This window comes from Homo sapiens, chromosome 5 (assembly GCF_000001405.40).
Source record: "Homo sapiens chromosome 5, GRCh38.p14 Primary Assembly".
Taxonomy (NCBI): Eukaryota; Metazoa; Chordata; class Mammalia; order Primates; family Hominidae; genus Homo; species Homo sapiens.
Genome location: NC_000005.10, coordinates 157,976,376 through 157,995,948, shown reverse-complemented (window position 1 = coordinate 157,995,948; position 19,573 = coordinate 157,976,376). Strand labels below are relative to the sequence as shown.

The 19,573-nt window shown below is 43.9% G+C and overlaps 3 pseudogenes; all 3 read left to right on the top strand.

The window, feature by feature from the left end:
* MARK2P11 (MARK2 pseudogene 11) lies at positions 5,965 to 11,305 on the top strand (annotated as a pseudogene).
* LOC345471 (cell division cycle 37, HSP90 cochaperone pseudogene) lies at positions 8,233 to 9,834 on the top strand (annotated as a pseudogene).
* On the top strand, positions 18,993 to 19,180 carry RNU2-48P (RNA, U2 small nuclear 48, pseudogene; annotated as a pseudogene).

The window sequence follows — 19,573 nt, the reverse complement described above, 5'->3', positions numbered from 1 at the left end:
GAATGTAAGTTACCTTCTCACATCAGTAAACATTGCCATGCAACTATTTATTCATTCCACAAGTATTTATTGAAGACTTACTCAACTAGACAGTGAGCTAGACTGATGAGCAAAACAAATATGGTTTCTGCCTTTATGGAATGAGAGAGACCAACATTTAGAAACAGAAAAACAGATCACTATATAGTGACAAATGTGGATTCTGCCATAGAGTGCCATTGTGTATCTACCTCAAACTTACTTTTGATCAGTACCACTACTAATAGTGATGGCTAGCACTGATTGACATAGCAATTAGGAGATTTCCAGTTGCAAGCAACAGAAACCTAACTGAAACCAGCTTAAGAGAAAAAGTTATTTATTGGCTCAGTCTAAGCCCAAACCGAAGCAGGAGCTTAAATGATGGTTCCCATCACATCTCCAGACCCCACCTTCCTCCTCAGTATTGATTTAAATTCTCAGGAAGCCTCCCTTCGTGTGGCCAAAGAGATGGAGACTGGCAGTCCAAGTATAAAAGGACATTATAACTCCAAATCCCAGGTAAAAAGATGCTCTGTCTCCTAAGGTCCCTGTACCAATGCTTAGGGAAGACCTGACTTGCCCAGACTGGGTCATGTGCCCTTTCTGAGCCAATCCCTGAGGCCAAGAGGTGTTGGATGGTCAAAAGTCATTGGGCCATCCCATGGCAGTGTCTGAAATCCTGTCCCTCCAAAGGTCCTGAAAATCTGAAGAGGACCTGAGGTGCTGGAGGCCTTCATAATACATCGCATACTCCCAGCCAAATGGAAGAAGGAGGCAAGGACTTCCACATTCCCACTTGGTCTATGTCTTAACAGGCCGATTCCACCAGAGGTCAGGGCAGAGCACGACATGGAACGGCCCTGGGGCTGGCTCTTCAACTCCAAATCAGCAGCTCTCACCAGCGGTCCCTGAAAACACCAGGAGCTGCAAGCCGCCAGAAAGAAAACCTGGGTGCAGCACGGAACTGCTGTCTGCTTCAGAACTGGCTCTCAAAAGGCACAGGTCTAAACAGGCAGGATGAGGAAAGTGATTTTGAAAACACTGTATTTTGTAGCTGCAAATCGTACAAAGTGGGCCCCCGAATCGTACAAAGTTATATACAAAATGTACCAACACAGAAGCCACCAGAAAAACAGGATTCTCATCTCTGCTTCCACCTGTCTCTCTACATGGACCTTCTACCACCCTTCTGCCTGCTCATTCAGACTCAACCGCACTGATTGCCTTTCTGCTCCTGGAACATGTCCAGCTTATTCCCACCTCGGAGCCTTTGCACTTGCAGTATCCCCTGCGTGGAAAGTCCTCTTTCTACACCTCTACCTATCGGGCTCCTTTCTCCCAATGTTAGCGCCCCACCTAAAGTAATGCCCCACCCAGTAGGACTAACACATCACCCTGTTTATTTCCTTCATATCATTTATCACCCTCTTAGATTTCCCACAACCCACAACAAAGCACAACAAACTCAGAGACTTGGTTTTGTGGTTTCCCCAGCCCCTAGAACTGTGCCTCCTCAGAGAGTTTAATAAGGGCTCAGTAAACATTTGTTGAATGAACAAACAAATGAATAACCCCCAATTTTCCACATCTAAAATGCGATGGTTAGATTATATGATGTTAATAATGGCTAATATGTACTGAATGTGTATTGCGGGTTGGGCACATTGTTGAGGGCTGTGGGTAGCACTGTAGATTATTTACTTTATATTATTTCAGCCATAACAAGACCTCAAATATTCTCAGGACCTCAAACATTTAAAGTGATGTTTCTGATGCCAAAATTCCTCTCTTAGCAATTTATTTCTTTGGCTTAATTTGGAATCTTTCAAAATACCTTTTATTGCAAGAACAGGAATCATAAAGTCATCTCTCATCCCAAGTGAGTTAGAAGTTTATAACAATAGATGACACATTTCTCTTTGTTAAAGTATTCCAGCCAATAATTAAAGAAGGGATGATAGATTTATTAATTTGCCTTTTTTTTTTTTTTTTTTTTTTTTTTTTTGGAGATGGAGTCTTGCTCTGTCGCCCAGGCTAGAGTGCAGTGGCACGATCTCGGTTCACTGCAAGCTCTGCCTCTTGGGGTCAAGCAATTCTCCTGCCTCAACCTCCCAAGTAGCTGGGACTACAGGCGCATGCCTCCATGCCCAGCTAATTTTTGTATTCTTAGTAGAGATAGGGTTTCACCGTGTTGCCCAGGCTGGTCTCAAACTCCTGACCTCAGGCAATCTGCCCGCCTCGGCCTCCCAAAGTGCTAGGATTACAGGCATGAGCCACAGCACCTGGCCTTATTTTGCTATTTGTATTAGTCAGGGTTCTCCAGAGAAACAAAGCAAATAGGATATATGTAGATCTATAGAAAGAGATTTATTATGAGGGATTAGCTCACATGATTATGAAGGCTGAGAAGTTCTATAAATTGCCATCTGCAAACTGGAGGCCCAGGGAAGCAAGCAGTATAGTTCTAGTTCAAGCCTGAAGGCCTGGGAGCCAGAAAGCCAATGGTATAAGCTCCAGTCTGAGTGCCAAGGTCCAAAAACAGGAAGTAGGAGATCTGATGGTGAAAATCCCTGCCTGAGTTTAAAGGCTTAAGAACAAGGAGCTCCAATGTCGCAGAGCAAGAGCACTGGATGTCCCAAATCAAGCAGATAGATTGAATTCACAATTCCCCTGCCTTTTTGTTCTATTCAGGCCCTCACCGGATAGGATATTGCCCACCCACATGAGGGAGGGGGATCTTCTTTACTCAGTGCTATGGTCTGAATGTGACAACCCCTCCAAAATCCAGGGGTTGTCAAGGTAATAGTATTAAAAGACGGGCCTCTAACAGGTGATTACACCACGAGGGCTGCTCTCATGTGAAAGAAATAAAGGCCCTTATGAAAAAAGGCTTTTTATGGCATTTGTCTAGGTCTTTAGCTTGCTCGTTAGCTTTTTTGCCATGCAAGGACACAGCATTCCACCTGTCTAGAGGACGCAGCCTCACCAAACATCCTCAACTGCCAGAGCCTTGGTCTTCAACTTTCCATCCTCCAGAACTATGAGAAATAAATGTCTGTTCTTTATAAATTACCCAGTCTCAGGTATTTTGGCCAGGTGCGACAGCCTCTGCCTGGGATTACATCCCAGCACTTTGGGAGGCCAAGGTGGGAGGATTGCTTGAGCCCTGGAGTTCGAGACCAGCCTGGGCAATGTAATGAGACCCCCCCCTGCCGCCATCTCTATTAAAAAAAAAAAAAAAATAGGCCAGGTGCGGTGGCTCACACCTGTAATCCCAGCACTTTGGGAGGCCAAGGCAGGCAATCCCTTGAGGTCAGGAGTTCAAGACCAGCCTGGCCAACATGGTGAAACCCCATCTCTACTAAAAATACAAAAATTAGTCCAGCATGGTGGCACGCAACTGTAATCCCAGCTACTTGGGAGGCTGAGGCAGGAGAATCACTTGAACCAGGGAGGTGAGGCGTAGGTTGTGGTGAGCTCAGATCGCACCATTGCACTCCAGCTTGAGCAACAAGAGCAAAACTCTCTCTCAAAAACAAATAAATAAATAAATAAATACAAAAATAAAAATAAAAAATTACCCAGTCTCAGGTATTTTGTTGTAGCAGCACAAACAGACTAAAACACTCAATCTACTAGTTCAAATGCTAATCTCTTCCAGAAATGCTCACACAGATACATGCAGAAATAATATGTACCAGCTATTGGGGCATCCCTTAGCCCAGTCAAGGTGGCACCTAAAATTAACCATCATGTTACCGATCATGATTTAATAGATCTAGGAAATTAGAATGAAAGTCTGCTAACATCACAAGAAGAGAGCTCATCAGACATCATGTGGCTCCTAATAAAAGAGCAGAACACCACCTGTGAAGAAGTCTTACCAAAATAAATTCACATCTAAATCTGATCAAACCTCAAGATTCAACCATCAATGTACAGAAAATACAGAGAAACTGGTTAATCTATACCACGAATACAATCAGCAAACTGCAAAGAGGAGGATGCTGACAATCTGGATTTCTCAAAGATAGATTATAAAGGAGATTAGAGTGAAAACTGATAGATTTTTAAAGCCTTTTAAAGGACATAATCAATCACAATATATGGACCTTATTTGGTTCCTGTTCGAATAGACAATCTGAAAAACAAAAAATTTCAAAATGACCAGGCGCAGTGGCTCACACCTGTAATCCCAGCACTTTGGGAGGCCGAGGCAGGTGGATCACCTGAGGCCAGGAGTTCGAGACCAGCCTGGCCAACATGGTGAAACCCCATCTCTACTAAAAAATACACACCTGTAGTCCCAGCTACTCAGGAGACTGAGGTGGAAGGATTGCTTGAACCCGAGAGGCGGAGGTTGCAGTGAGCCGAGATCACACCACTGCACTCCAGCCTGGGTGACAGAATGAGACCCTATCTCAAAAATAAATAAATAAATAAACAAAAACAAAATTTTTAATAAAACAAAATTTTTTTAATTCAAAATATGTGGGACAATTAAAATTTTTAACACTGAAAAGATGTTAATATTGAGGAATTATTGTTTTTAGAATGATATTTTAGTTATTTTTGTTTACACAGGGTCCTTTTATTATAGATACAAACTAAAATATGAATAAAATTTAAAAACTAATAAAAAGATAAATTAAAAATCGCCACATATTTGGACATTTAAAAACATAATAAGCCAAAAGCTTTTCGAGCTAGAAATGAAAAAGCCACTGAAGCATCGTATCGGTTTTAATTTCTAATAAGGCAAATAGCAATATCTATAACCTACATAAAGGAAAAGCTGTTGCTATTTAGGGTTCTCAAAATTTTTTTAACAGTAAGGCTTTCTTGAGACCAAAAAATGAGGAAACCACTGTGGATTATCATCAGCCATGATAGGTCCCTTTCTTGCTATGACGTCCTAGGAAGCCACTGTTCTAGAATTCCAGGCACGTATATAAGTCCCTGGTTGGGCTTAGGTTTCCGGGCTTTCTAGCTCAGGAGGCTGGTTTTCAATGACCTAAGGGATTTTGCCCAAAATTTACTTGTTTTCTTTTTGGCATTGTAGGCTTTCTGTCTTTTTCATTTGTTATTAACTTTCGCTCTCTCTCTTTTTTTATTCTTTTTCTCATTTTCCCATTTGTATTCTTTCTCTTTTTTTAGTTTTCTCATTTTTCCCTTTTTCTTGGTCTTCTTTACTTTTATTTTTCTCATTGTTTTCTTTTTCCTTATCCTTTTTTCTTTTTCTCACTTTTTTCTTTCTTTTTTTCTTTCTTTTTTTTTTTTTTTTTTATAAATAGAGATGGGGTCTCACTATGTTGCCCAGGCTGGTCTCAAACTCCTGAGCTCAAGTAATCTTCCCACCCCGGCCTCCCAAAGTGCTGGGATTACAGGTGTCAGCCACCGCACCCAGACTGTTTTTTTTTTTTATCTTTCTCTTGTTCTTTTTTATTCATTTCCTTTCTCTCATTATTATTTTTTTGGGTTTTTTTTGAGACAGAGTCTCACTCTGTTGCCCAGGCTGGAGTGCAGTGGCACAATCTCAGCTCACCGCAACTTCCACCTCCCAGGTTCACGCCATTCTCCTGCCTCAGCCTCCCGAGTAGCTGGGACTACAGGCGCCTGCCAGCACGCCCAGCTAATTTTTGTATTTTTAGTAGAGATGGGGTTTCACTGTGTTACCAAGATGGTCTCAATCTCCTGACCTCGTGATCTGCCCACATTGACCTCCCAAAGTGCTGGGATTACAAGCGTGAGCCATGGCACCCAGCCCTTCCTTTCCTCATTTAAAAAAATTTTTGTTAGTATTTGATTTTTGTTTATTTTTAGTTTAGCACTGTGTTTTGATCCCATTATAAAGATCAGTTGGTCAGGTGGTCTTTGGGAGTGATTTTTCTTTTGACATGATCTAGACCAAGCTTCTCTCTAGCTTTTCTCAGTTTTCAGCTGACCATGGGGCACTCTGCCTTCAAGCCCAGCAGTAAGTCCAATGTATGGCAGGGCCTCTTGTCCATCTCGGCTGAGAACACCCATGTTAGCAAACACCAGCTCCTCAACACCATCATCAAGGGTACCTTTGCCTGTCAAAGTTGGCCTGGCACATCCTTACTGGGAAATATGTAGCCATGGGGGATCATTGACCAGACTCAACAGAATTCCTCTAGCTTCCAGAGACAATCCTGCGAAGTAAAAAGCATGAAGGCTTAGAATCATCCCATCATGGTGAAATTATTTGAAGGGGTTGAGACTGAGAACAAGATTCCTTGTCACGGACTACACCGCTGGAGAAGAGTCCTCCTGCCTCATGGAAGTATGAAAGAAAAAGAGTGAAACTGTGCCCCAAAGAGTTCAAGAAACCAGTGACTAACAGAAATTCTTGAGTTTACAGGATGGCAGATAAGAAATAACTTGCTGAATTGCTGAAATTCCTTCTGCTTATGAGATTTAAAAATTGACTGAAATTGGTTGGAACCAATATGGCCAAATGGAATCTGTGTAAAACAAGGTTGCTTACATCGCAGTCTGGATCTCCACCAGATGTTTCATACTAACTCCTCCCAAATTTGCACATGCGACCCACGAGGAAGCATGAAGAGATAGCTGCGTATGCTGGAGGACTTCCCAGACCTCCCCTTTCCTTCCACCAACCACCTGCTAATCTCAGAATTCACCCCCAAACCTTTTCTAATAATATTGCCTTAAAGCCAGCACAAGCAGACAGATTTGAGCTGGACTCCTATCTCCTTATTGGTCAACCTGTAATAAAAAGCTTTGCTTTTCCTCAAAACCTGGAGTCATTGCATTGGCTTGTAGCGCATTGGGCAGTGAGCCCCTTTTGCTTGGTAACAAAATGACCAAGTCAAATTCCGCCAGATAGTGTCTGCTGTACATTACTGTCACCAGAAGTTTGTTGTCCATAGAGATTCAAAAGCAGATGGTTGGGCACAGTGGCTCACACCTGTGATCCCAGCACTTTGGGAGGCCAAGACGGGCAGTTCTCGTAAGGAGTTCAAGACCAGCCTGGCCAACATGGTGAAACCCTGTCTCTACTAAAAACACAAAAATTAGTCAGGCGTGGTGGCAGTCGCCTGTAATACCCACTGCTCGGGAGGCTGAGGCAGCAGAATTGCTTGAACCCAGGAGGCGGAGGTTGCAGTGAGCCAAGATCATGCCACTGCACTCCAGCCTGGGTGACAAAAGCAAGACTCCGTCTCCAAACAGTATATAGCCCGGGAGCGGTGGCTCATGCCTGTAATCCCAGCACTTTGGGAGGCCAAGGTGGGTGGATCACCTGAGGTCGGGAGTTCAAGACCAGCCTGACCAACATGGAGAAACCCCATCTCTACTAAAAATATAAAATTAGCCGGGCATGGTGGCGCATGCCTGTAATCCCAGCTACTCAGGAGGCTGAGGCAGAAGAATCGCTTGAACCCGGGAGATGGAGGTTGCAGTGAGCAGAGATTGTGCCATTGCACCCCAGCCTGGGCAACAAGAGTGAAACTCTGTCTCAAAAAAAAAAATACATATATATACATATATACATATATACACATATACATATATACACACATATATATACATATATACACATATACATATATATACATACATACATACATATATACATATATACATACATACATATATACATACATATACATATACACACACACACACACACACACATATACATATATATATGGCAGAAAACCTGCCCTTGGATGCTGACATGAACATCAAGATTGCAGACTTTGGCATCGGCAACAAATTCGCTTTCGTCAACAAGGTGGTTATCTTCCGGTTATCCCTTTTGCTGCCCTGGAACTCTTCATGGTCAAAAGTATGATGGACCCACCATGGATCTCAGGAGTCAGCTTCTATACACTGGTCAATGGATCCCTGCCTTTGATGGACAGAATTTCAAGGAGCTGTAGGATGAAGTACAGAGTAGAATGTATCACATTCACTTCTACTTGTTCATGGAAGGTGAAAACCTGCTTAAGAAATTTCTCATTCTCAATTCCAGCAAGAGAGACACTTTGGAGCAAATAATGAATGCTCCATGGATAAATGTATTCCATATCCCTCATAAAGATGAACTAAACCCTGTGTGGAGCCATTTTATGACTACAAGGACCTTCCCCCTCACCTGGCAACAGACAGAGTTGATGGTGTCAGTAGGTTCCACACATGAAGAGATTTAAGACTTGCCTTGGGAGTCTCCAGCGCTGCTGCCGCTGCCACCCAAGCCAGAGCGGGCTGGGCCGCCAAGGCAAGATGGTGGACTACAGCATGTGGAACCACATAGAGGTGTCTGATGATGAAGACGAGACGCATGCCAACATCGACACGGCCAGCCTCTTCCACTGGCAGCACCAGGCCCAGGGGGAGCGCATGGAGCAGTCCCAGAAGGAGAAGAGGAACTGGACAGGGGCTGCCACAAGCGCAAGCACAAGGTGGCCAAGTGCCAGAGGAAACTGAAGGAGCTGAAGGTGGCTGAGGGCGGCAAGGCAGAGCTGGAGCAGCTGCAGGCCGAGGCGCAGCAGCTGCGCGAGGATCGGAGCTGGGAGCAGAAGCTGGAGGAGATGCACAAGAAGGAGAAGAGCATGCCCTGGAACGTGGACACGCTTAGCAAAGATGGCTTCAGCAAGAGCATGGTCAACACCAAGCCGGAGAAGACGGAGGAGGACTCAGAGGAGGTGAGGGAGCAGAAACACAAGACCTTCGTGGAAAAGTGCGAGAAACAGACCAAGCACTTTGGCATGCTCGCCACTGGGATGACAGCCAAGAGTACCTGTCGGACAACGTCCACCTGGTGTGCGAGGAGACAGCCAATTACTTGGTCATCTGGTGCATTGATCTAGAGGTGGTGGAGAAATGTGCACTCATGGAGCAGGTGGTCCCCCAGACAATCGTCATGCAGTTTATCCTGGAGCTGGCCAAGAGCCTGAAGGTGGACCCCCGGGCCTGCTTCCGGCAGTTCTTCACTGAGATTAGGACAGCCGATCGCCAGTACGTGGAGGGCTTCAACGACGAGCTGGAAACCCTCAAAGAGCATGTGCAGGGCCGTGCCAAGCTGCCCATCAAGAAGGCCATGAAGGAGTACGAGGAGGAGGAGCGCCAGAAGCAGCTTGGCCCTGGCGGCCTGGACCCCATCGAGGTCTACGAGTCCCTCCCCGAGGAACTCCAGAAGTGCTTCCATGTGAAAGACGTGCAGATGCTGCAAGATGCCATCAGCAAGACGGACCCCACCAACGCGAAGTACCACATGCAGCGCTGCTTTGACTCTGGCCTCTGGGTCCCCAACTCTAAGGCCAGCCAGGCCAAGGTGGGAGAGGAGGCGGGTCCCGGGGACCCGCTGCTGGAAGCTGTTCCCAAGACGGGCAATGAGAAGGATGTCGGCGTGTGACCCGCCCCAGCTGCCATCGCCACCTGCTTGCAGGCCCCTACGTGCCCCTTTTCAGAAAACAGATAGATGCCATCTTGCCCGCTCCTGGCTTCCTCCACTTGTGCTGCTTGGCCGGGCTGGGAGGCCTGCCCAGCCCTCCCTGGCCTCTCCACTGTCCCATTCTCCAGCACCCATTCAAATCTCTGCTTTGAATCAAGGGGCTTCACTGCCTGCAGCCCCTCATCAGCATTATGCCAAAGGCCCAGGGTCCGGGGAGGGGCAGAGGTTGCCAGCTGGTCCACCAGGTAGTAGGGGAGGGTCCCCAGCCAAGGGGCTGGCTCTGGTCACTGGGCTCTGTTTTCACTGTCTGCTTTCTGTGTCTTCTATTTGGCAAACAGCAATTATGTTCAAATAAAGGACTTCGGATGCTCAAGAGAAAAAAAAAAAAAGACTTGCAACAGGCCAGAGGTACAATGAGGTGATGCCTTTCGATCTGCTCTTGGGCTACAAGAGGTCCAAGCTGGAGGTCTGCACCATCCCTTTGCATCCCCAGCCTTTGGCTGATCTGGCCAACACTTTCCCATCCTACAAGGTACAGCACAGGATCTCTGCCAGCCCCAAGCATGAGTTTCAGGGAGCCTACCATTCCCACCTTTAATTGTTGTATTAGTGTGCAAGGGCTGCCATAATACCACAAACTGAAAGCTTAAACAACAATTATTTTCTCATAGTTCTGGAGGCTGGAAGTCCAAGATCAAGGTGCCAACAGGGTTAGGTTCTTCTGAGGCCACCCTCCTTGTCTTGCAGAGTCTTCTCACTGTGTCCTCACATGGTCTTTTCTCTGTGCCCATGCATCCCTGGTGTCTCTTCCTCTTTTTATAAGGAAGCCAGTCCTGTTTGATTGGGACCCCATCCTTATGCCCTCATTTAAACTTTAAAGGCCTGGCTGGGCACGGTGGCTCATGCCTGTAATCCCAGCACTCTGGGAGGCCAAGGCAGGTGGATCACCTGAGGCCAGGAGTTCAAGACTAGCCTGGCCAACATGGCGAAACCCCATCTCTACTAAAAATACAAAAATTAGCTGGGCTTGTTGGCACATGCCTGTAATTCCAACTATTAGGGGGGCTGAGGCAGGAGGATCACTTGAACCTGGGAGGCGGAGTGAGCCGAGATCGTGCCACTGCACTCCAGCCTGGGCAATAGAGCGAGACTCTGTCTCAAAAAAAAAAAAAAAAAAAACTTTAAAGGCCTTAACTTTAAGTTAAACTTTAAAGGCCTTAACTTTAAATCACCTCTTTAAAGGCCTTATCTCCAAATACAGTCACATTGGGGATTAGGGTTTGACATATTAATGTTGGGGACATGGGGGACACAATTCAGTCCTTAAAAATTGCTGCACTAAGAGTATTCAGAGGAGCAAGGCAGATCCTCAAGAGGTTCCGGAGATAGGGCAGAAGCCAGGGGCATAGCCAATGTGCCTGCCAGTCCCCCATGCAGCCTGGAGCCCTCTCCACAAACAGCAAGTTCTCCTTCAAGTTTATACAGAGGCATCTTTGTTTCAGGTTTGCCAAAAGGAACCTTAAAAAACCGAGTGGAGATATTCAAACCTAAAGAGGCCGACCTATACTTGCTACACTTTATATGTAGTATGAAGATCTCAGGCTCCATGGAGCCCAATGAGATAACATGGGAATTTGGCAAGGTGCTCAACACAAACAGCTGCCAGGGCGAGCTGAGCAAGAAATGGTGCTGCTGTGCATGCATGGTGTGCCAGGCCAGGAGGGCTTTGTGCAGCGGAAGGTGGAGGTGTGAAAACTCCCACAGCAGTCTCTCAGAGTTCAATGGAAATGCATGCCTGGCACCTCCCTGGCCTTCAAAAGTATTGCCTCCAAACTCATGACAAAGATCCTCTCGATGAAACTTTACTCAGGCTCCCCTGGACTCTTTCTCACCTAGGCCTGACTTTTGGACTACCGTGTCCATCTCTACATTGCCCAGTTTTAGCCAGAATCCTGCTGAGTTGGTTTAGATAGAATTCCCCCATCCTGCATGTCTAATCACCCCTGGTATCTAACCTGTTTTCTCATCCTCCACCATCCCCCTGATGTCTGATCACCCTGGTCTGTCTGCAGCAAGAAGCCTGGTTAGGTCAGTAGAGTCAGAATCTCCCTTATCACTGATGTTTTCTCTTAGTAATTTTCCATCCACTGACCCGCCTACCCTGTTCCTTGGCTATAAATTCCCACTTGCCCCTGCTGTATTTGGAATTCAACCCAATTCTATCCTGAAGGCTCTTTTTCCCTATTGCAATAATACTGAACAAAATCTGTTTTTACCACTTGAACTACTGTCCAGCTCTGGTTTTCTTTAACAACGAAGGAGATTAAGGTTTAAAAAGCTGTCAGGAGCCATGTAGGAGACAAGAGGAAGAGCCAACTGGCCACCAGCCACTCAACTCCACCCCAGGCTGCAGAGATTAAATTGGCCTGTTTCTGGGGCACTTCTCCCGTCCCATGCCCTGCATCTTTTTTCTTCCATATTTGTAGGGGAGGGAAGATGGTTCTGTAAAATAAAGATTTAAAAAAAAAACACACACTTCTCTTCCCTCCTTCCTGTTTCCCTTCCCTGTTCCTTCTCCTTCCTCTCTCCCTCATGTGCTTCTGACCTACGCTATAAGACTTTGATTACATACAGGGAGAACTGGGCAAATAATTGAACACATCTAAGATAATGGGAACCAGGTTTCTCACTGGAGGAAGTTACAAATATGGAAAAGAGGAGGACAAAAATAAATCTGATGTTGGATTGGAATTGGAGATATTGGTGTGGACTCATGGTTTTTAATATAAAGAGAAATATATATGTGTGTATGTGTCCATTCAAACCACTAAGATGGCCTAGGAGCATGACATACCAGTATCAGTGAGTACTCCTAGTGCCCAGATCTTGGTTCCTACATACCATTCTCCACTTAAGAAAATCAAGGCTCTTTGGAGAAATGGTGGATTCCAGGGCTAGGTAGGGAAATATAAGATAAACTTGAAACATTTTTTGTTTCAGAAAGAAAGGAAGGGCTCAAAGAATGATGAGAACATACCAAGAAGAACAGAAGTATCTATAATTAATCTAGAGCAAACATTATTCTAAATGGGGAAATGCTAAAATTATTCCTTTTAAAATCAGGAATGGGACAAGATCGCACTAATACCACTACTATTCACATTGTGAAGGTCTGAGCCAATATAGATGTAAGAAAGAAATTGGAGTTTTAGGAATCGGAAGAAAAAATAAATCCATACTCAATTGTATATTAAATGATTGTTTAAAAAGAAAACTCAATAGAATAGACAAATTATGAGAATTAAAGTTTAGAAAGAAGCCTGGTTATAGGATTTTTTTCACATTTTTAATTTTTTTATTGATAAAATATACATATATAATTTACCATTTTGGCTGGGTGCGGTGGCTGATGCCTGTAATCCCAGCACTTTGGCAGGCCGAGGCGGGCGGATCACGAGGTCAGGAGATCGAGACCATCCCGGCTAACACGGTGAAACCCCATCTCTACTAAAAATACAAAAAATTAGCCAGGCGTGGTGGCGGGCGCCTGTAGTCCCAGCTACTCGGTAGGCTGAGGCAGGAGAATGGCATGAACCTGGGAGGCAGAGCTTGCAGTGAGCCAAGATGGCGCCACTGCACTCCAGCCTGAGAAACAGAGCGAGACTCTGTCTCAAAAAAAAAAAAAGATAATAATAATAATTTACCATTTTTACCATCTTTAAGTGTGCAGTTCAGTGGTAATAAATTCATTTATATTATTTTTTCCCTTTCATCCATCCCCACCCCACCTCCCCTTCTCAGCCTCTAGTAACCACCAATCTACTTTCTATCTTCATGGGATCCACTTTTTTAGTTCCTGCGTATGAATCAGAACATGCAATCTCTCTGTGCTTGGCTTATTTCACTCAACATAATGCTCTTCAGTTTCATCCACGTTGTTGCAAATAACAGGATTTAATTCTTTTTATGGCTGAATAATATTCCATTGTGTATATATACCACATTCTCTTTATCCATTTATTCACTGATGGCCACTTTGGTTGATTCCACAGTTTGGCTATTGTCAATAGTGCTGCAATAAACATAGGAGTGCAAATATGTCCTTGATATACTGATTTCCTTTCTTTTTGGATGTATATCCAGAGGTGGAATTGCTGGATCATATGGAAGTTCTACTTTTCATTTTTTGAGAAGCCTCCATTCTATCAAGGCTCTTTGGAGAATGGTGGACTCCAGGGCTAGGTAGGGAAATATAAGATAAACTTATCAATAGAATCAATATTTTTATGTTGTATTTCCATATACCAGAAACAAACAATTATAAAATATAATTTTTTAAAAATCCATTTACAATAGTTAAGAAAATACTTTTTTTCTACATAGAAAAAAAAACTAAAGATATGTCAGAACTACAGAGGAAAGTATAAAACTTTATTAGGATATTAAAATCTAACTAGAAGGAGAAATATACCACGTCCATGGGTAGAAAGACAAAATTGTAGATATGCATTCTCTCCAAATTTATCTACAGATTCAATACAATACTTCAGCAGGGTGTTACATGGAAGTTGATAAGATGATTCCAAAATGTATATGGAAGAGGAAAGGACAAAGAATAACTAGGATCCTCCAAAGAAGAGCAGGGCAGAGGACTTGCCACACAAACTATGAGGAAGTATACTAAACCTATAGTAATTATGACTTTATTAAGTATTATAAACCTATAGTAATTAGTAACTCAGTATTGTAAGCCTATAGTAATTACCTATAGTAATACTTTATAATTATTAAAAACCTGTAGAAATATAATCATATTGGTGCAAGGTCAGATAAATTGACAAATGGGATGAAGGGAGTGGAATGGAAGGGAATGAAATGGAATGGAAGCTTCAAAACAAACCCACACATTTCATAATGTTGATGCACAACAGAGGTGGCATGTCACATCACTGGGGAAAGGAATAACTTCAAGAAATGAAGCACCTTTTAAAAATGTAATCCATTTGGAAAAGGAGAAATTAGATTCCTGCCTCACACTATATCCAAAAATCAACTTCAGATGTAATAAGGACATAAATGTCAAAACAAAACTTTTTTTTTTTTTTTTTTTGAGACGGAGTCTCGCTCTGTCACCCAGACTGGAGTGCAGTGGTGCAATCTCAGCTTACTGCATGCTCTGCCTCCCAGGTTCATGCCATTCTCCTGCCTCAGCCTCCCGAGTAGCTGGGACTACAGGCGCCCGCCACCACGCCCGGCTAATTTTTTGTATTTTTAGTAGAGACGGGGTTTCACCATGTTAGCCAGGATGGTCTCAATCTCCTGACCTCGTGATCTGCCCGCCTAGGCCTCCCAAAGTGCTGAGATTACAAAAACAAAACTTTTAAATAAAAAATATAAGCAAGGTTTTGGCTGGGCGCAGTGGCTCACACCTGTAATCCTAGCAATTTGAGAGGCCAGAGTGGGAGAATCACTTGAACTCAGACTCTGTCTCAAAAAAAAAAAAAAAAAAAAAAAAAGAACTCCTATACAATTACAAATGCACCAACAATTCTCTGTAGGGATAACCACACTTTTTCTTAAAGGGACAGATAGCAGATATTTTTGTCTTTGAGGTCCATACAACCTCTCTTGCAACTACTCAATCATTGTTCAAAAGTAGTGAAAGAAAATACATAAGAGATTAACCACGTTTCAGTGAAATTTTATTTACAAAAACAGAGAGCCAGCACAATGGCCTTAGCTTCCCAACCCTTCTAGTAGACTAAGAATTTGAGTTGAAAATTTTTTAAAATTAGAATTTAAATCAGTTTGCTTTGTTATATAATAAAATACTGCAAAACCTAGTGGCTTAAAGCAGCAAACACATTATGTCTATTATGTCTCTCTCTCTCTCTCTCTTTTTTTTTTGATGGAGTTTTGCTCTTGTCATCCAGGCTGGAGTGCAATGGCAGGATCTCAGCTCACTGCAACCTCTGCCTCCCAGGCTCAAGAGATTCTCCTGCCTCAGCCTCCCGAGTAGCTGGGATTACAAGCATGCACCACCATACCCAGCTAATTTTTGTATTTTTAGTAGAGATGGGGTTTCACCATGTTGGCCAGGCTGGTCTCAAACTCCTGACCTGCAGTGATCCTCCTGCCTCAGCCTCCCAAAGTACTGAGATTACAGGCATGAGCCACCACGCCTGGCCAAAGTCTCTTGATACTATGGGTCTGCTGGGCAGTTCTTCTGGTCTGGATCAGCTTGGCAAATCTGTGCTGTCGGTTGGAAGCTTGGCTGGGACCGGAGAGTTTAGGGTGGCTTCACTCCCATTAATGTTCCTTTGACCAAAGCAGGTCATATGTCCAAGCCCAGATTCAAGATTCAAGAAGTAGATAAATAAACTAAACTTCATCTTTTTTTTCTCTCTCTCTCTTGAAACAGAGTGTTGCTGTGTTTCCCAGGCTGGAGTGCAGTGGCGCGATCTCAGCTCACTGCAACCTCTGCCTCCCAGGTTCTAAATGATTCTCATACCTCAGCCTCCTAAGTAGCTGGGACTACAGGCATGCATCACCACATCCAGCTAATTTCTTTATTTTTAGTAGAGATGAATGGGGTTTAACCACGTTGGCCAGGCTGGTCTGGAACTTCTGGCCTCGAGTGATCCGCCTGCCTCAGCCTCCCAGAGTGCTGGTATTACAGGTGTGGGCCACCTTCATCACTTGATCCTCCCACTTCAGCCTCCCAAAGCACTTGATAGAAGAAGGAGCAAAGTCAGGAGGCAAAAGGGAATGTAATCCAAGATGGGAGGCATTTATAGCCACTTTACAATTGAATTGTAAACCTTTAAGCAACCATGATGTGAATTCATAGTCTAGGTAATAATCAGTGGCTGTACAATTGAAAATCACTAACTTATGTTAGCCTCTGTGGCTTGGCTCCTAAAGGAAAACTTTCCATCAATAACAAGTTTATAGGCCAGAGGCAGTGGCTCACACCTGTAATCCCAACATTTTGGGAGATGGAGGCAGGCAAACTGCTTGAGCTCAGGAGTTCAAGACCAGTCTGGGCAACATAGTGAGACCTTGCTCTACTAAAAATAAAATAATAATAATAATAATAACAAGTTTATAGAACAGTCCCCTATTTTATTTTTCACAGAACTCTTTTGTCCAAATGCAACAACTAAGACACTTCTATAACCACAGTATTGATATTAATGACTCCCAAGAGAACAAGCATTCCTTGTCCCCTGGTCCTACCCAGAGAGATTTTTCTAGAATTGGGGTCGGGGAGGGAAAGGTAAGGAATATCATTTGACAATATTTATTCAGATAAACCACAAAATTTTATAGTCAATGAAAAACATATATAACTATGTCTTTTAATACAAATTATAGAAAGCATCACATTTATAAAATAGAGACAAGGTTTTTAAAAATTGAGAGGCTGGGTGCAGTGGTATGTGCCTGTCACTCCAATGCTTTGGGAGGCCGAGGCAGGTGGATTGCTTGAGCCCATGAGCTCAAGGCTGCAGTGAGCTAGGGTTATGCCACTGTCCTGCAGCCTGGGTGACGGAGCAAGACCCTGTCTCTTAAAAAAAAAAAAAAAAAAAAAAAAAAATACGCCAGGCACAGGGCTCACGCCCGTAATCCCAGCACTTTGGGAGGCTGAGGCAGGTGGATCACGAGGTCAGAAGATCAAGACCATCCTGGCTAACATGGTAAAACCCCGTCTCTACTAAAAATACAAAAAATTAGCCGGGCGTTGTGGCGGGTGCCTGTAGTCCCAGCTACTCAGGAGGCCGAGGCATAAGAATGGTGTGAACCCGAGAGGCAGAGCTTGCAGTGAACTGAGATCATGCCACTGCACACCAGCCTGGGCGACAGAGCGAGACTCCGTCTCAAAAAAAAATATATATATATATATATACACACACACACACACACATACATACATAGAGAGAGAGAGAGAGAGAGAGAGAGAGACCAGACAGTGGAGAGTTTCCAGTTTCCAGGTATACCCTGAGTTTGGTAGAAGCCATTTCTCTCCAAAAGAGACCCTGTAGGCCACAGTCAGAGGGCAAGCATCCCTGAGAAAGCCACAGAAAGATTATTCTCCTGGCTGAATCCATTCCCTGACTGGCTGGCACTTGGCAACCTGACAAGTGTTTTACATTCAAAAGGTCAAGCTCTGAGTGAATCTGCCCAGAGACTCTAGTGAAGAGTGCCTTGCCACTCACGCCTGGATGCCCAGGCCTGGCGCCTGTCCCCTGCCCCTGCCATTCTGACAGCTGTGGAAGAAGGACCCAGGTTCCCAGCTTGGGCTGTCAGCACATGCAGGGCAGCCCTTTTGTTGAAGGTCAAAGTCTAATTCTCACTCCAGGAAGCCTTCTCTCTGGCTCTCTTTCTTCCAGCATGTCCATCTTAATAATTGCTTATATTTTTCTGCTACCTTATAGTCTTCAAGACATTTTCCCCTTCACAACCTCATTTGATCCTCTCAAACAGAAGCAGGGTGTCAGAACAATCATGAGTCTTCGTTTTGTAAAAAGAAAGACTAGGCAATTGAGTGCTGGGAGAAAAGCGTAGGGACAGAAAGATGTGATATTTTTCCTCCCCCATCATAAGGGTCACGGCTGACACTCCTATAACAAAGACAGGTTAACAGGAGAAAAGCATAACAAATTTATTTAATCAAAGTTTTATGTGACACAGGAGCCTTCAGAATGAACATCCAAAGATATAGGGAAAGTTGTCTGGTTTGTTTTTGTTTTGTTTTTGTTTTTGTTTTGAGACAGAGTTTCACTCTTGTTGCCCAGGCTGGAGTGCAGTGGCGCAATCTCAGCTCACTGCAACCTCCATCTCCCAGGTTCAAGAATTTTCCTGCCTCAGCCTCCTGAGTAGCTGAGATTACAGGTGCCTGCCACCACATCTGGCTAATTTTTGTATTTTTAGTAGAGATGGGGTTTCACCATGTTGGCCAGGCTGGTCTCAAACTCTTGACCTCAGGTGATCCACCCACCTTGGCCTCCCAAAGTGCTCGAATTACAGGCCTGAGCCACCGTGCCTGGCGAGCTGTCCATTTTTGTGCTTTGATTGGATGAAAAATGGACAGCTGTGTAGAAATATGATTGGACTAAAAGAGTATGACCCAATGCTAATAGGCTGCGTGGGGAAGCCCAGCAAGGCCTATGCAGTTTCTTCTTGCCCTCTCTGTTGTAGCATTTCTTCCTCCTAGGTATGGATGAGGCAGGACCCCTCTGGAATGACAGTCTTCTGACCTAATATTGCACAAGGATAAGACAGAGAATTTCTTTATGTCCAGCTCCTAGCCAGAACAGTAAAGAAAGGTTACAGTAATTATTCTAGTTTTTATGGCTGGCTTTGGAAAAGAGAAGTTCTAGTTTCTATGACCCACCTTGGGGAAGAGGAATTCTGGTTTCTATGACTTGCTTCAAGACAGAATGAAGGGTAAGAGACAGCAAGGCAGAAAATCTAAGAGACCTTGGTTCTGAGATTGCTTCTGAGGCCTTCTGACATCCTTTAATTTATTGCTTCTAGATATTTTGGCTAAGATCAAGTGTAGTATCTGTTCTTATCAGTTTAATATTTGATATGTCCTCTATCCAAGGGCAATATATTAAATGGATTTTTGGAGCAGGGAGATAGAGTAGGAGCTTGCTCCATCCACTCCACACACTGACTTGGTATTGCAGTACCTCCAGGAATGATGCAACCCTCCAGGATATTTTTATTTTTAATCCTTTAATTTAAAGTGCTCAGCATGCCAAAGTGCCATACTTTGAAGTATCACTTTCTGAGCCCCAATAGAAGTATAATATAGTAGTTAAAAACAAAGGCTCCATAGTTAGCCTTCTGCCCATTACTCACCAGGTAATCTTGGCACACTAATCTCTCTGACTCAGGTTTCCTATATAGAAACTAGACATAATAATCTCCCTATCTCCTAAGTCTTTTTGCAAGAACAAAGTATAAAAATATAAGTAAAATGTCTACCATATAACAATAGCATAAGAAGTCACCAGTATTGTTTTTATTATTTGTATTGCTTTTGTTGTTATCACATAGCTAGTGATCCAACACTAGCTATGTGATAACGCCAGCTGTGTG